Raw genomic sequence first — 18,190 nt, forward strand, 5'->3', positions numbered from 1 at the left:
ATGTTTTCCATAATAGTTAATCCAAAAGATACATCTATTCCAGTTTTTTTTTTCCATTGGGAAAACCAATTTCTATACTCTTATTAGTACACATTTTTGAAGAGTAGTATAAATAAAAGTGTTGACTATTCGACACTTTCTTTTTCACTCAATGTTTTTAAGACAAAAAATATGACATTTCTGAACCCTTAAGCTTTGTCATTTGTTGGGGGAATTTATCATTCAATCTGTTATTCGACAATCTCTTTTTCTCCCCATTCCACTTTGTGTTCCTGCTGCAGGAATATTAAATGATCTGTGTTCTTCTGAGTGCACCAATTTGTTCGTATCTCCCTGAACTTTGCCCAAGTTCCTTCAGCCTTAGAATGACATTTTATTACTATCTTTCAAGTTAAATATTTTCTATTTTTAAAACCTTTTTTTGACCCTACCTGCCCACCTCCATCAAAATTAATCCTTTTTTCCTTTTGCTACATGCATACTGAGTGAATACCTCTTAAATTTCATTGACAGTATGAGATTATTCAGAAAATAGGTTCAGCTCTCTGTAGCACAACAGTTAAGTAAGCACACCAAAGGAAAAAGAAGTAAATTATAGAGGCGTATTACATTTTAAAATACCACATTTTGTCAACTCTTACACACTGTTCAATATTTTCACATCTCTGACATTGGAATATATGTTAAAATTGATATTATGTTATTATCTAGTTGGCATAAAATTGTCTCCCTTTGTTGTATATGAGAAATTGGTATGTATTATAATTGGGGGAGGAGCCGCTATTAGAAACTTTCATTATATTTTATGATTTCCTGGCTTGATCTCTGTCTCTCTCTCTCTACCCAATGAGGATGATTTTTATTTTCTAATTTTGTGATAATGTATAAAGGAAGATTTTCTCATTCTATGTTGGTCAGCCCAATAATTCAGTATGTGATCAGTTGCCTTTGCTTTATTTCAAGGTACTTACCAAGCAAAACTCATCCATATAAATGACAGGAAGATTTTACAATATTTAAACATAACTTTCATAATTATGCTAAGCAAACTTTTAATTTTTTGAAATTTCATTTTCTGTAAGCTAGGAATCAATCTATGTGTTCAGAGAAAGTTCTAAGACTTATAGTTATGAGAGGAAGACTATCATTCATTCAATATTCAAAAGCAATTCTAATAGTTTCTAAAAGTATTAAGCTGCTACTGGTAAAACAAACTTGTCCAACCTGTGGCCCATGGGTAGCATGCAGCTGAGGGCATCTTTGAATGCAGCCCAACACAAATTTGTAAACTTTTTAAAACAATATGAGATTTTTGGCAATTTTTTTAATTCATTGGCTATCATTAGCATTAGTGTATTTTATGTGTGGCCCAAGACAAGTCTTTGTCTTCCAATGTGTCCCAGGGAAGTCAAAATTTGGACAACTCTGTTGTAAAACAATGCAACTGGGCTTCTCTATAACCAGAAATCCCCAAATAGTCTTAATGGCTACTTGTAAAGATGTTCTTAAAAATGTTGTAGGTATCAGTTGAAGGAGAAAGATGTGGAAAAGTTGCTATTTCCTGTAAAACTGGATTTTGATGTTCTGCCTTTTCAAATTCTTCAAAATAATCTTATTCATATGTATGTTTTCCTTTGGGTTAATTTTAACTACATTGAACTACATAACTTGAGAATAACATAACAAGAAGACATGTGTTGTTGGAAAAAATATGAGTGAAGACAGACTACAAATTCTTTAGCTGAAATTAAAATTAGTAATTTCATTTATTCAAAATGAAAATAAATGTAACATTAAGTTTTAATAAAAAGAAGAAACAAAGGAAGCACTGAAATTTTTGAGAAGAGGTATGCAGGGAAATAAAAAAGAAAGTTCTAAAAATCAAGGAGCTAATCCTACTTATACTTTTTGGAAAAAAGGCAAGTAAATGCAAACAAAACTTATGTGCACACAGAAAATAAGTTTAGCCTCTAACTATCAAATGCTACTGCCTATAGATTCAGTTTAATATCATCTTTGAAATAAAACTTTGGAGCTAAGACAGATTTTAACTGAAATGGACAGAAAATAAGAAGAAATGTATTCATATGGCGTCTGAACACAAAGAAGTTTACATAGATTTTTCTTAAAACATAAATATTATAGAAGTAATATTTAAGATTGTGAAAAATTAGAAAAAAGAAAGAATACAATAAGTGCATGTGTCTGTATGTGTGTGTGCACTTTTTGTACATGTGTCTGTGTGTTTGCATGCACACATGTACTATATATATATATAACTATACGTGTGTGTATATATATATATATATATACACACACACACACATGGAGAGAGAGAGAAAGAGAGAGAGAGTACATATTCCCTGTGGAAAAAATATACCCACAAACACAGCAAAAATTATTCTTACAAATACACGGCTCATAAAGGAATTATGTAGAATACAAAATAAATTAGAAGTCAAATATCAGATGATAAAAAACCACAATTAGATGAAAGATTAAAATTCAGAGTTAAGAAAAACATTAAGAACTAAAGTAGTATTATTACACAATTGACTAAAAGAGCAATGTCAAGAGAAAAATGTTGACAACCTTAGGATAAATATATGGATATGCTGAAGATGTTTAAGAGAATAACAGAATGCAGGATTATATGAAGAGTGTTTAAATATGTTAGGAATGAGAGTACCAAAATATGAAAACAGCATTTGAAAGCACAAATAACAGTTTTAAAAACCAAAATCATAAAACAGCGTTCATGTTTATAGGCATAAAATATTATAGGAATGAAGGAACAAAGGAAACCACAGAGAGAAGATTATACTATATTTTTGACAAACTTATGCAAAATTATCAACATCAACAGATTTTCCAGTGAGCTACTGACTTTCAAAGATTAAGAACTAATTCTACTAGGGTCCAACAAAGGACAGCAAGTCAAGTAAAACAATAACAACAAAATTAGGCAGATCTCAGCCTTCTCTAAGGTAGTATTCAATCCAGTACACTGGTGAACATTTGCTTCCCAAAAGTTAAAGTCAGTAAAATCACAACATTTTTTATGAGCTAACTTATCTTTCATAGGTAAAGCCCTCAAAACCAAGCCAAAAGTGTGTTTTAAGACAACAAATTAACCGTTCATCCCTAAAGGCTAAGTGAGCAGAGTCAACGTTTCATCTCTCGGTAGATAAAAAGTCTATGTAATGCAACTTATTATCATATTTTTGATTTTTGTGGGATTTCAATAACCTTAACATACCAAGTCATCATGCATCATAATTCAGGACATTTTGTTAAATAATGCTGACCATATGAAGTTTGAAATACACATGACTTCTGAGATAAACAATATGGATAAATCAAATTAAAGTCCTATGAAAGACAAAGTATTAAAGCCCCATATTATAATAAGAGAACCTTAACTGTTAAAAAGGAAAGAAAAAGGCACAGAAAAAGGCACAGATGAATCATCACACACTGGCATGGATTTGGATTTCCCTGGACTATACAGCTAGATATTGTGTTCAACTCTAGAATCAATAAATCACCCACACACCTCTCCCAATTTTCTCTAGTCTTAGGTGGATTTTTTTTTCCTTCTTGGCATTTTGTAAGTTGTTCCAAACACAGGAAATGTTTCAAAGTGTATCAGAATAAATTACAACAATTATGTGGTGTTAATCCAGGGCAAATAAAGCAACAGGAAAACAGTAAATGAAAACCACTCATTTAAAAATGGAGCAGCAAAATTCTGACACCTAGTTTTTATAATAGTGTAATAACTGACTTTGTAATCAATTTTCATAAGAAGTTGAAGATTTTTGTCAGTTTAGAATGACTAAAACATTCAATGTAATTTGATTAATTACATTTGTGATTTCATTTTGATGCTTATTAAAGCAATTTTAAAAATTTTAATTATTTAAATATTTAATGGAAAATTAATTTTTTAAATATTTTCTTTTATTTATGTATTTTAGAGACAAGGAGTCACTCTGTCACCCAGGCTGGAGTACAGTAGAATGATCATAGCTCACTTGAATTCCTGAACTCAAGTGATCCTCCTGCTGCAGCCTTCCAAGTATCTAGGACTACAGGTATCACCACAAAACTCAGCTAATTAAAGAAATATATTTTTTTGGTAGAGATGAGGCCTCCCTGTGTTGTCTAGGCTGATCTCAAACTCCTGTCCTCAAGTTCACTTTCTGCTTCAGCCTCCCAAAGTGCTAGAATTACAAGCATCAGCCACTGCATCTGGTACCAATTTTTATATATTTAAGTTTTGCTTTATTGTTCGTGAAAATTATTTTTAATGGGAAGCCTGATGAAAATGTTTACAATAATTTAGTAATGTTATAAAGAGTAGCAATTTTTAAAATTAAATAGTTCTGTGTATCCCTCTTCATCTATAAAGTTTATTCTGTTATTCAAGAACCTATCAATGCATTTTTAAACACTGAAAATCTAATAATATATTTTACAAATAATACATTATTTACAAACCATGGGAAAACAAGAGGTTGTATGATAATTACTTCCCAGATATGAGTCCCCTTATAAGAATTTAAAATATATGCTTATCTGTTTATTCAACATTGTTTAACAAATGTTGCAAATAATGGTTAAATTAGGGAAAATGATCCAAGTTTTTTTTTTTTTTCATTGCAGGCAAAGAACTAGGGAATATGGTTCACTTAGCCAGATATAGTTCACTTTTTTCTTTATTTACAACCCAGAAATATTTACTTATCACCATTCTATGCTTGTCATTGTTATAGGCTATGGGAATATAAAGATAAATATCACACATATGAATCCTCTTCTCGTGGAGCCTGAAACCCAGAAGAAGAGACAAGCAAGGAAAAAGAAAATCACTTCGATGAAGTAATTGTAATTGTTTTAAAAACCAAGAAGGAAACAAACAAGTTCTAAAATAAATGATAACAGGTAGGACCTATTTCTTGGTAAGGAAAAGTGGAAGACCTCACTAATGAGCTGAGCTTTAAGTGGATTAATGAGGAATAATATTTACCCAGGTATAGAGAGGAGGAAAGTCCAACATGGGACCTGGTCTGATTGAATATCATTCCATTACCTGTCACGGGCAAGGAGAAGTGGCAGAATATGTGGTTAGGAACAGAACAAAAACTCAATCATGAAGATCTTCGTAGGTCATGTTAGGCATTTAGCAATTATTCCAAGTCCAATGGTAAAGCCTGAGTGGTTTTAAGGTGGTGTTATTATGATTAATAACAGTTATAGTTGTTTATTGAGAGCTTACTGTGTCATATACTATCCTAAATCTGTTATATACCATAATATCTCAAGGGTCTGCAAACAGTCCACCAGTCAAATCCTGCCCACTATGTGTGTCTGTATAATCCCTGGTTACAACCCTGGAAGATGGCAGTGGTGGCCACGGAGACCCAGCCTGGCATACCCCTCTGCCCCTGTTCTCTCTCTATCCCTAGCACCTAGGGCCAACAGCCAAGTCAGGAAGGCTGGCTGGGCTCTCCTGGAGGCCACCAAAATGAGTGTGTCACTGTGCAGAGATTGAAGAGGACAGTTAGATCCTCCTGCAGCAGAACTGTGATTCTAGCAACTCAGAAGGTCTCCAGCTGAGGGCAACTGGGGACACTCCATGACACTGACCTGGATCAACCATCGTAGGTCTGAAAGGTGGGCAGGCATTTGTGTCCTCTTATTATCAAAGTAGCTCTGCAATATCCTTCTTTTTGCCTCTTGATCCACAAAGTCTGAACTATTTTTTAGTTGGCTCTTTACTTTCTTACATTTTCTGTAATGCTAGTCAATATGTAACCTTAGTATTCCCATCCCACAGAGGCAGAACTGCAGCTCAGCAAGGCTACCTGACCCCAGAGCCTGATGCATGATTTGGGGGACTATCACAGAGGTCCAGGAAATAAATAAGGGGGGCCGAGATGAAGGAGAAACAAAAGCTTGGGAGTATACTTTTAACACTAACTTGTCAAGGTTTACTTTTAAATCTCAGGTGAGAGTGAGTTAAGGATAAGCAAACTGATTTTGAAGTTTCTTCCTTTAACAAGAATGGTAGTACAATTATAAGATGGGAGTAAATTGGAGATGAAATAAGGATAAGGGGGAAAGAGTGGATATTGAGGAATTGTCCTGCTAAATTGGAGATGTCTGTGAGAATCCCAAGAGGATCTGTAAGTAGGAAGCTGGACATAAGGTTCTAGAACTTCCAGTAACTAACTGAACATTCACCTTAGATGTGGAAGGGAAGTGGCCTATTATTTTTGGCTTTGATTTTTGTTTTGTTTTTGCTCTTTTTTCTTTTTGACAAGGAAAACAGTAAGACGGAATTGAAAAGCAAGTCCTAGTTAACCCCAGGACCAGCCTAGCAGAAGCAGAAGAGAGAAAACTGAGAGCTACTGAATGTTCACTTCATCAATTAAAAGTACAGTTTATTTGATAATTGCATACTTTGTTATTAAATTATAGAACTTAAAGTGGCTTAGTATTTATTTCAAAATTCAGGTTGTCATTTTGTGGTACGTTACTATGTGAGGTTGCCTAGTCCATTGACTACGTTAGCCTATTTCTACAACTTTGGATTCCTAAAATATTCTGCAAGAGAAGACAGTTGAAAACAAAAAGTATCATTAATAAGTTAAATTAATGTAAAACAAAATTTGTTCCCAGCAACTTCAACACCAGACCATTATCCCTTTACTTTATCAAATTCATTGGCTGTACAAGCTTGACTTACTTACACTGGATGAATAAATGGGGGATCTTTTCATAGGATTCTTTAAAATAATATCACACTTTCCTTCTTCCACTTATGTCTTTCAAGAGGTCCAAAGGGTACAAATGAGTCAATCATTTTTACTCCGAATTAGACAACTCATAATTTTCTGAATACATGCTGATGAGAGCAATGTTAACAAATTAGAAGCTGATAAGCTGGGTAAACTACATTTATTTCAAAATTTCCCCTTTTCCTCTTTAAAAAGTTTAAAGCAATTAGAGATTTTAATTTCATTTTTAAATCTCCATCTCTAGGCTGGGAGCAGTGGCTCACACTTGTAATCCCAGCACTTTGGGAGGCCAAGGCAGGCAGATCATCCAAGGTCGGGAGTTCAAGACCAACCTGGCCAACATGGTGAATCCCTGTCTCTACTGAAAATACAAAAATTAGTCAGGCATGATGTTGGGTGGGGGGTGGTGCCTGTTGTCCCAGTTATTTGGGAGGCTGAGGCAAGAGAATTGCTTGAACTCAGAAAGTGGAGGTTGTAGTGAGCTGAGATCGCGCCACTGCACTCCAGCCTGGGCGACAGAGCAGGACTCCGTCTCAAAAAAAAAAAAAAAAAAAAAAAAAAAACTCCATCTCTAAACTAAAAGATACCGAAACCTTTGTACTCTAGTTTATTGCAAAGAGTAACCCTGAGATTTTAGTGTGATAGATGTCAAAGAAGTTTTGGAAAGCATGATTAGCATCTCACTGCTGAAATCATGGGAAATCAAGTAGAAGCCTGTTAGAGACAAAACAGCAATTATTGAATAAGCAAGAAAGTAAAGTTAGTACTGTATACATCTTTAAAAGTCAAGAAGGACCAACAGTAATGTTAACGGGGCCAGGCAGAAAGTTTCCTCTCTTTCCCCTTCTTTAACCATTGGTATAGTTCTCTGATGCCATGAAAGGGCCATGATTATAGGGTGAGCTTGGGAGAGGGGAAATAGTAAAGAATGTAGTGAGGGATTTACATTCTGTTAATTAGAACTGTCAACATTGCCTCTGTGGCCTTGAGAAAGAAGTTTCCTCTGTCTTCTGGCATCACTGCAGAGTTTATAAACTAAACCCAAAAAGGTTTTGAAGTCCATGGTTTTGTAAGTGTTGTCCTGTTTCCAATTCCTATTTGAATAAGGACTGCTCTCATACTAAGGAAAAATATTTGTCATATGTGGGAGGCAATTTGTCATATAGCTAAAATCTTATCAAATTAGAATCATAAAATAAATTATTAAACCAATAGCTTATAAATAAAGAATGTAAAGGGCAAAAAGAGACAGAAGAAAGAAATATAAAATACAAAAAGTTCCCCAAACCCAAAACCTTAAACCAAATTACTTTTTCTGTCATATGCCTGTAGAAATGTAAGATTTCTCCAAATCAAGATTACCAGATATTTTCGGGGGTGTCCAATCTTTTGGCTTGCCTGGGCCCCATTGGAAGAAGAAGCATTATCTTGGGCCATGCATAAAATACACTAACACTAATGATAGCTGATGAGCTAAAAACAAACAAAAATCACAAAAAAATCCCATAGTGTTTTAAGAAAGTATACGAATTTGTGTCGGGCCACATTCAAAGCCGTCCTGGTCCGCATGCATCCTGTGGGCCGCAGGTTGGACAAACTTGGATTAGAGCATCCCAATCATATTGGAATAGCAATGTTTCCTACCTTGACAAAATGTAAGACTGCCTTACTACTGGGGAGCCAAGCCAAAGGACTTATAAGCTAATACTTGATTGGGTATTGGAGGCTATATAGAATTACCTCACCTTAGAAAACTCCACCAAAATGCTGTCAGATAAATTCTGTATGTTTCAGGGACTTGCTGGTTCCTAGTTTAAAGAGAATTTCCATTATTATCATCATCATTATTATCAGTAGGCATGTATTTTATTTAAAAAGTTCATTTTAATCTATATATTCTAATATAATTTATGTTCAGCTCTAATTATTGCTATACTTGAAAATATTAAATATATATAATCTATAGTATCACATTACTTAAACAACCATTTGTATTTCCATACTGTAGTCAGTGTCTTGAGTTCCTTCTTTAATTAATATTAGTGATGTTTTAAAGCACATAATCCTTTGTCGAATATTATTTGAATAATAGTACTCTAAGGGGATAAAGATATATTAAATTCCTATTGGATTCAAAGCTGTAATATACCTTGTGGGCCTCTTTAGGATAATTAATAAGTAATTATTTGACTTAATTTACTAAAATGTGAATTTAATATATATATGTCTATTATTAACAAGCACAAATAAACTTGAATATATTTTGCTTAAAAATGGATAAACTACAGTTATTTTAGTGTTTCATTTCTTAAATGTCTATGGCGTTAAAGTGTTACTCTGTGAAGTTTTTAATCTATGGTAAACAGTGAGTAAATATTGCGGCATTGCATATACAGAAAAAATTCAAATGCATTAAACATGCTGGTATGCTATGAACCTATTTAAGGTCTTAGAAAAGTGAAAACTTATTTTTGTGCTGCTCAATAGTACATTAACAAATTAACATCTAGAGAAGTATAGCATCAAAGAGATAAAGGACCCAAGCTAGAAATAAGCTTTACCCAACAAACAGAAAGAAGTTTGATCAACTGCTTTGAGGAATAAAGCAGCTTAATGAGCTTATGAAGCTCATTAAGTCAACAAGGTCAGAGCCCAAATAAATGACATGAGAAATAGGAAATTTAAGAAAAAAATATTAAGAGTGAAAAGACCATAACTGAACTCATAAAAAAGTTAGTAACACCAAAGGACAGAGGGTTAGTAACATAGGAACAAGGTTTGAGATAACTATGGGGGATCACAATTATTTTTTTGAAAAGAAGAAAAAGTGAGATAGAGATGTATTAAGAAATAAAGATGATTAATCTTCTTGAGGAATAAACCTCAACAACTAAAAATAACAAAAAATCACTAACACAACAATAAAACTAAGATTTACCAGAAAAAAAGAAGATACTATTTGTGTTCTAGAGCACTTTGAGTTTTAGGTAACATGCAGGTGCCCTGTAAATCTTCAAAAATATGGAAAGAATACTTCAGATAATGGAGCAGAGGGCAAGTCACTTACAAAGTTGGAGGTTTTAGATTGGCATTAGACTTCTCTGCAGTAACATTCAATGCTAAGATTACAAAATTCAAAGAAAAAAGTATAAACCAAAAGATGCAATTGTTTTCAGATAAGAAACCATTGTAAACTATAAAATTCCAATTCTTGGAGCAAGTGTTATTGAGGATTACTTGTATCCAATTAAGAAGTTAATCAGCGCATATACTTTCCAAAGTAGAGAAATCATAAACACAAAAACAGGTCCATTCAAATATAGAACAAATATTTTTATATTTAGTGTGTAACAGTTAGATAAATTATAAAGTAACAAACTTTAACAGATTAAAATAGTGGTCTATATTTCAAGTACATGTATTAGAATGGAAGAGAGAGAGCCAATGGCCTATCCTTTATTGAAAATATTCAGTAAAAATTGTTTAAGAAAATATGTAGTTAAAAAATATGTGTTCCACCTGTTAATGTCTTCCATAATGTTTGTATAATCTTACAGTTTTTGAAGATATATATTGTGTAAAATACAGTTTTTCAAACTTTGAATGTTTTCAGCTATACCTTAATTTCATGTTTTCTGATATTTCATGTAAAAAATAATACTATTGTATATTTTAATTAGATCATATGCAGAATGCAATCCATTTTTATAAAAGTATGTATGCTTTTTTACTCATCATGCTTGGATAACTATCTGGAATCACTTTTACCTAAAAATAATGATGTATGTAGTTGAAAAATGATATGTGTGATCCTTTATTATTTTTTTCTGTGCTTATTAGCATTGGATAAAATTTTCAGTAACAGTTTTGACATTTTGCAAAAATTATAAGTGTAGTTGTTATTTTATAATATGAATTATATGGTAGTAATACTATTATTATGTTAAAAATAGGTAACTTAAAAAGAGAATAAAAATTTCCATCCACTCCAGTGAATATGTCCAAATTTGGAGAGCATAAATTATGGATTTATAGATGATGATAGTTTACAACAGCAACTGTAATTTAATAAAATAAATGAACAATTTGCAAACAGAATATAGTGTTCCCAGATTAAAGCATGTAGTTAAAAATGAGATAATTTAGCTTAACAGTGTTGAAGGGTGTCAACAATACTGTAAGCACTAATACCTGTGTGAACTAATGCCTATGCATGCATATGAATACAAATTATACACACAAACACCTTGAAAGATGTAATATTTTCTGCTAAGTATATTTGAAATATTAAACTTCAATTTTAGATTATCGTGTAAAACTTGCCAATGCTGTTCATCTCTTCTCATTTATCATTTCATAATAGGGTTTTGTTTTTGTTGTTGTTGTTGTTTGTTTTGAGACGAATTCTCTCTCTATTGCCCAGGCTGGAGTGCAGTGTCATGATCTTGGCTCATTGCAACCTCCACCTTCCAGGTTCAGAGATACTCCTGCCTCAGCCTCCCGAGTAGCTGAGACTGCAAGTGTGCTCCCATGCCCAGCTAAGTTTTGTATTTTTGCAGAGACAGGGATTAGCCATGTTGGCCAGGCTGGTTTTGAACTCCTGATCTGAGGTGATCTGCCTGCCTCGACCTCCCAAAGTGCTGGGATTCCAGGAATGAGCCACTGCACCTAGCCCATAACAGTGTTAAAAAATTGAATTTTTGGCTGGGTACCGTGGCTCATGCCTGTAATCCCAGCACTTTGGGAAGCAGAGGCAGGTGGATCACTTGAGTTCCGGAGTTCAAGAACAGCCTGGCCAACATGGCGAAACCTCGTCTCTACTAAAAAATACAAAAATTAGCCAGACGTGGTAGCAGGTGCCTGTAATCCCAGCTATTCAGAAGGCAGAGGCAGGAAGAATTACTTGAACCCGGGAGGCGGAAGTTGCAGTGAGCCAAGATCACGCCACTGCACTGCAGCTTGGGTGAGAAAGCGAGACTCTGTCTTGGAACAACAACAACAAAAATGAATTTTTATACCACTGATGTTTAGAATAGTGGTCAGTTAATCAGTACTTCCCCGCCACCCTCCCCTGCCAAATATTTTACACTACTTGGGCACAAGGAAAAGCCAAGAGTTAGAAAGACAAAGGCCTGGTAAATACAAGAACACTGAAATATTTCATCTAGGACACAATTAGAGTATTTTGTATTTTTTGCTGGCACATAGTAATTGTATACATTTACACGGTATATGTGATATTTTGATACATGAATAGAATGTGTAATGAACAAATTAGGGCATTTAGTCTATCTATCGCCTCAAATATTTACCATTTTTTTTGTGTGTGTGCTGGGAACATTTCAAACCTTCTCTTCTAGCTATTTTAAAATATAAAATAAATTATTGTTAACTATAGTCACATTACGGTGCTACCGAACACTAGAACTTATACTTTCTATGTACCTGCCTGTTTGTACCCATTAACAAGTTTCTCTTCATCCCCGCGCCCAATCACACACCCTTCCCACCTTCTGGTAACCATCACTCGACTCTCTACGTCCATGAGACCAAATTCTTTAGCTCTCACATGAGTGAGAACAGGTGATATTTGTCTTTCTGGGCCTGGCTCATTTCATTTAACATAATGACTTCCAGTCCCCCCCATGTTGTTGCAAGTGTAAAATTTCTTTGCTTTTTATGGCTTAATAATCATTCTTTATACATATGTACTGCATTTTATTTATCCATTCATCTGTTGACAGACATTTTGTTATTCCGTATTTTGGATATTGTAAATAGTGCTGTAATAAACATAAGAGTGCAGATATCCCTTTTATATATGAATTTCCTTTGCTTTGAATAAATACCCAGTAGTGAATTCCTGGATCATATGGTAGTACCATTTTTACTTTTTTTGAGAAACCTTTATACCGTTCTCCATAATGGTTGTACTAGTTCACATTCTCACCAACAGTGTGTAAGAGTTCCCTTTTCTTCACAACCGTGCCAGCTTTTATCTTTTGTCTTTTTGGTAATTGCCATTCTAACTAGAGTGATATCCTGGTTTGGTTTACATTTCCCTGATGATTAGTGTTGTTGGCAATTTTAAAATAGACTTGTTGGGGCTGGGCACGGTGGCTCACACCCGTAATCCCAGCGCTTTGGGAGGCTGAGGTGGGTGGATCACTTGAGGTCAGGAGTTTGAGACCAGTCTGGCCAACATGGTGAAACACTACCTCTACTAAAAATACAAAATTTAGCTGAGTGTGGTGGTGGGTGCCTTTAATCCCAGCTACTCAGTAGGCTGAGGCAGGAAATCGCTTGAACCTGGGAGGTGAAGGTTGCAGCGAGCCAAAATCATGCCACTGCACTCCAGCCTGGGTTACAGAGTGAGACTCCCTCTCAAAGAGAAAAAAAAAAGTATATATATACACACACACACACACACACACACACACACACATGCTTGTTGTCCCTTTGTATGTCTTCTTTTGAGAAATGTCTGTCTAGATCTTTTTCCTAGTTTATATTTGGATTATTTGGTTTTCTTTGTGCTGAGTTCTTTGGGTTTCTTATATATTCCGGATGTTAGTCCCTTGTCAGATGAATAATTTGCAAACATTTTCTTCCATTCCTCAGGTTGTCTCTTTACCCTATTGATTATTTCTTTTCCTGTGCAGAAGGTTTTTTGAGTTTAACATAGTTCCATTTATCTATTTTTTTCTTGTTACCTGTGCTTTTGTATTTTTAATTTTTTAATTTTATTTGTAATTATGCACATGCTCTGCAACTATAACTTCTAACAACACTACTGAACGTATATCCTAGGGGGAATGGTAGGGAGAGGCTGAAGCTGACAATGTAGATTTACCCACCTACGTTAGGCTCACAAGACAACCATAAACTCTCAGAATGTCAATGACCATAGTTCCCTCTTCATAATAACATGAAATGAGCATGAGACTTGGAAATTTTTTCAAGGCTAGCAACACATTTAATTATAGAATTCACATCTCTGTAAAGGTGGTTTATCTTTATGCACAAAAGTTAATCCTACAAATAAGATCCTAGAGGTTTTCTCTTTATGCATATGTGAATACAGATTGGAACAAAACTAATTCTTCCACAAGTTTAAGCAGAAAATAGGTCCAGATTGATAAAATTGCTCATAAAAATATAAATAAGAAAAATAAGCCTCTGAAATAAACCGAAACTTGAAAAAGCAAAAAATAAAAAATAAAAATAAATACAAACATTGCATATAAGAGCAGAGAAAAACCTGGTTTATGTAAAGAATCTGAGGAGTCATGCAATCATAAATCAAAAGACCCTTTCTTCTTGTACTTTCTCATCTTCCTTTTATTCTTTCTTCTAACCCCACTGTCAAGGCTTACTGTCAGATACTGTAGTGACACACCAAACAAGACACCATTCTCCTTCACTAAGTTTGACAAGATCATCTCCTTCATCCTGAGGATCAATTAACCAAGTTTCTAAGGTCTTTTCAGGTCATTGGACAAGGAGATTCTGAAGTAGTCTACATTATCTTTTATTAAAAGTACAAGTCTTAATAACTCACTTGGGGCTGTCTGTGGTGACAGGGACCTACTAGAGCCAATCATAGTTGCTGGGCACAACTCAGCAAGTGGGGTCTCCAGTGAGTTTTGGTCCCATCACTGGACAACAGTAGCAGCTAGGAAATTGTGTTCCAGGTTTTGTTAGAGCCCCTTTGTTGAATCTCTAGTCAGACCTGCCTAGCAAGCTCCTTGACTATCAGAGATGCAAAGGACTGGCTGTGCAGGAAGTCTTGTCTAGGAAAGGCAGCTGTCCTGAGAAAGAACCTTCAGGTAAAGCCTTCGTATATGCCTATGATCTAGGTCAGAAAGATCACAAACAGATTCTGGCCAGAAGCAATACCTTTCAACAATTATTTAATTTTTGCACATCGCAGACATTTTTAAAATCGAGGTGCAAATACAGTCCATAAAATATGGTAGTCTTAGTGCATTGTCCAATTGTTTATATATAATTATGCAATCACTGACTAAATCACGATTTAGAACATTCTTGCCACCCACAACAGTATTTATTTATTTATTTATTTTATTTTTATTTTTTTGAAATGGAGTCTAAAACCTAAAAACCAAAAAAATAGAGAAAGATTTCACTGTTATGTTTAATTGTAACAAAATAATCTGTATATCAGAATGCAGGAATCACAAAATATTTGTTTCATTTATTTGTCTATAAGAAAATCATTTTAGTACCAGTGAAATGATACATGAAATATGTTTAAAATATATTATTGCCTGAAGGTAAAGTATCTGTTACATAAGGATATCACACAAGTTAATAACTAGGACCTTGCCAAATCTAAAATGGAAATTAGTAAACAATTTACATAGGAAGTTCACCAAAGAGGACACAGAAAATATTAAAATTTGTTTAAACTTATTCATCATAAGTAATGTATAAATTTAATTGACAGATGCCATTTTTCATCTGTCATAATGGCAAAGATAAAAACTGCTGATAAGATATTGCAATGTTATGCTATGTAAGATATACCAATCCAGTCAACTTCACATGTGCATGTATAACTTTGACAACTATTGTTGCCAATTTACCAGTGAAAATCAGAACTACAAAGCCTGATGGCATAGTGTGTTTGCTTAAATCCTTATAGAGATGAATTGAAGTGTTTTTTTTCTTGTTGTATACAAAAACGTGTGTTTTGCCATGCACACACATGAAATTTTATTATATATAATTTGATCCGTAGGTGTTCAATTACATTATCTTCTTTGTAACAATTCTTGACATTTGTTTTCCATCATACTCCCACAATGAAATAAAATCAGTTCTCAAAGGGGCTTTTTTTTCTGTAATATCTACTTATCTGCTTTTATCACTTGGTCAGCCCTTCGTCTAGTAATGTCTTTGAGAGGAATTCTCAAGCTTAAGTTCTCTCTGCTTCTATGGAGAATTTTGTAGCCATCCTGATTCTTCCCAATAACCATGATTAGATGTTTATACTTATAAGCTCAAAGGATTTTTTTTTATTTTCAAAGTCCATTTATTTTTAATATGAGGTAATTTTGAGTATTCCAAACCCACACCTTTGGCAATTTATGCTGGTAAACAATGTTCCCTTTTCTCTGTAGATGCGAGTTTCTTTTACTTTTGGATGTTTTACTTTCATTATAACAAAAAATATTCTGTTCTATTCAATTTGCTCTTTTTGGCCCTTCACATGCCATATTATAAATATACTGCAGTTGTATCTAGCTTTCTGTCTGCCTGTGTATGTATCTATGTATCTACATTTATGTAAATATGTCTATAGATATTTTTTGATTCTAATATTTTTTTAAAAGTCTGTTCATTTTCACTTCATTTTCTTGGTGTTCGTAAGCCAATATTCTATGCTTCTAATGTTTATGGCCCTACTTCCCTTTTTCATCATTTACAGTGTGATAATTTAAGTTTTCCTTGTAATTTCTTCTTAAATTCTGCCAGTTCACAGTCCTCTCCTCCTGATGCTTGACAGTTTTTCTTTGAGCTTTTGTATATCTCATTTCAGCTCTCAGCCACACTGTCTTTTGTTTGTTTAGAAAGTTTCTTTAATCTACTATTTTTGTTTTCTATTTATTTCTTCTTATGTTCTTCTAGTTTTTGTGTGTGCTGTTCAAGTTAATTTTTAACTATAATTCATCGTTTAATGATATGAGTTCTTTTCTGACCAGCTATTGCAGAAAACATGTGATGTGTAGAGAAGGCAGTATTCAAGGTGAAAATGCTCATATGTTTGAACGATTTATTTTACCTCTTTATTTTCTTCAAGTCAAGAGTTTTCCAATTGTAGAGATGTTCTCAACTTAGAAACTTCCTAAATAATAGACTTGCAGGAATTTATGTATTTCCTCATTCAGCTGCACTACCCCTTCTTCTCTGTTTTATCAACAAAGAGTCCATGACCTGTCACCACTAGCCCTTATGTCATCGCTTTTGTGTTAAAGACAGTTTTTTGTTTGTTTATTTGTTTCCCTCTCATTTTATGCCACTTGTTTGGAGAATTGTTCTCTTCTGGCTTGGCCCGAGATTTGTTCTTGAAATCATCCACTTTAGTCATCTTTCTGAAATCTTACTGGTTACCAAAGACATTCTGTAGCTCTTCCTCATGTGTAGTGGTATAGAATCTCCTGCTCTTGTTGGAAGCTTAAGTTTTTGTTTCCTATTTCTGGTTACCATTGCATTATTTTTTTGACATATAAAATATAAAAGAGTCATCTCTCTGGTCCCATTTATAAAATAAAACCCTTTTAATGTTTATCTGAAGGCTCACAGCTACAACATTAGTGCAAATCCAACTGCATTGACTTGCCTCAAAATACGTCACCAGAACTAGCATATGTCCCAGTACAATTTTATGTTGTATTCAAGTTTTTATGCATTATAGGCACATTTTGTATTATCACATGTCCTTGGTGTAGTTAACAGAAGGTCATATCTATTTGAATTTTATTGACATTGATGCACCATTTGTAAACTGTAAAATTTAGAGGCTTCTAGGTTTGGTGCATCTTAAATTTCATGCAAGTCTGAAGGTTGCATGAATACCTATTTTGCTGATGAATAAATTTTGGGGGAGGTAAGCCATCCCAATTGCTTGATGCTTATGAGACTATGTAATCTCATAGTGATACCCTTCAGAGAAGTGCTCTGAGGAATTCATTGTGATAAAAATATGAATTGACCGTGTAATATACAAATTCACCATAGTTTCATTTGAGACTTTCATAAAAGCTATACATGTTCCATCCACAGGCTAAATTAAATGTATAAATCATTTATACAACAGTGTTTTATGTCTGAATTCATAGGATTTCTAAGTGCTTAGAATACTAATCACAGGAAAGGGATTCTTATATCTTAGATTTTGATGTCTTACATGAAAACATATATACAGGCTTAAAATGCACATCTACCCTAGAACTTAAAGTATAATAAAAAAGAAATATAATTCTTAATTACCATGGAATATAACAATAGACATTAATTACATTCTGGTTCAATGGGTGAGATTAAGTGGGATCTGCCTTATTTACCTACATGCACGGCTTTCAACTTTATAGGTTAAACAGACTCGCCTTATTTTTAATAAGGTGGAATAATTTTAGGCCTCAGAAAATGTCATTTTGAAAGTTACCATAAAATGGCATAGTTCCTAAGCAATTGATATTTCTAGCAAAATATCTGTGTTAAAGTCACATATCAAAAAATGTGTCCAGAAAATGCAACCTTTAAGAAATAATTAAGTTCTAGAAAGTAAGAAGTTTAGAAATAGAGTGATGTTCAAGTATTTAAAATTAAAAGTAAATTTATCCTATTCTAATTCCATC

The sequence above is a fragment of the Homo sapiens genome, chromosome 5 (assembly GCF_000001405.40).
Source record: "Homo sapiens chromosome 5, GRCh38.p14 Primary Assembly".
Classification (NCBI taxonomy): Eukaryota; Metazoa; Chordata; class Mammalia; order Primates; family Hominidae; genus Homo; species Homo sapiens.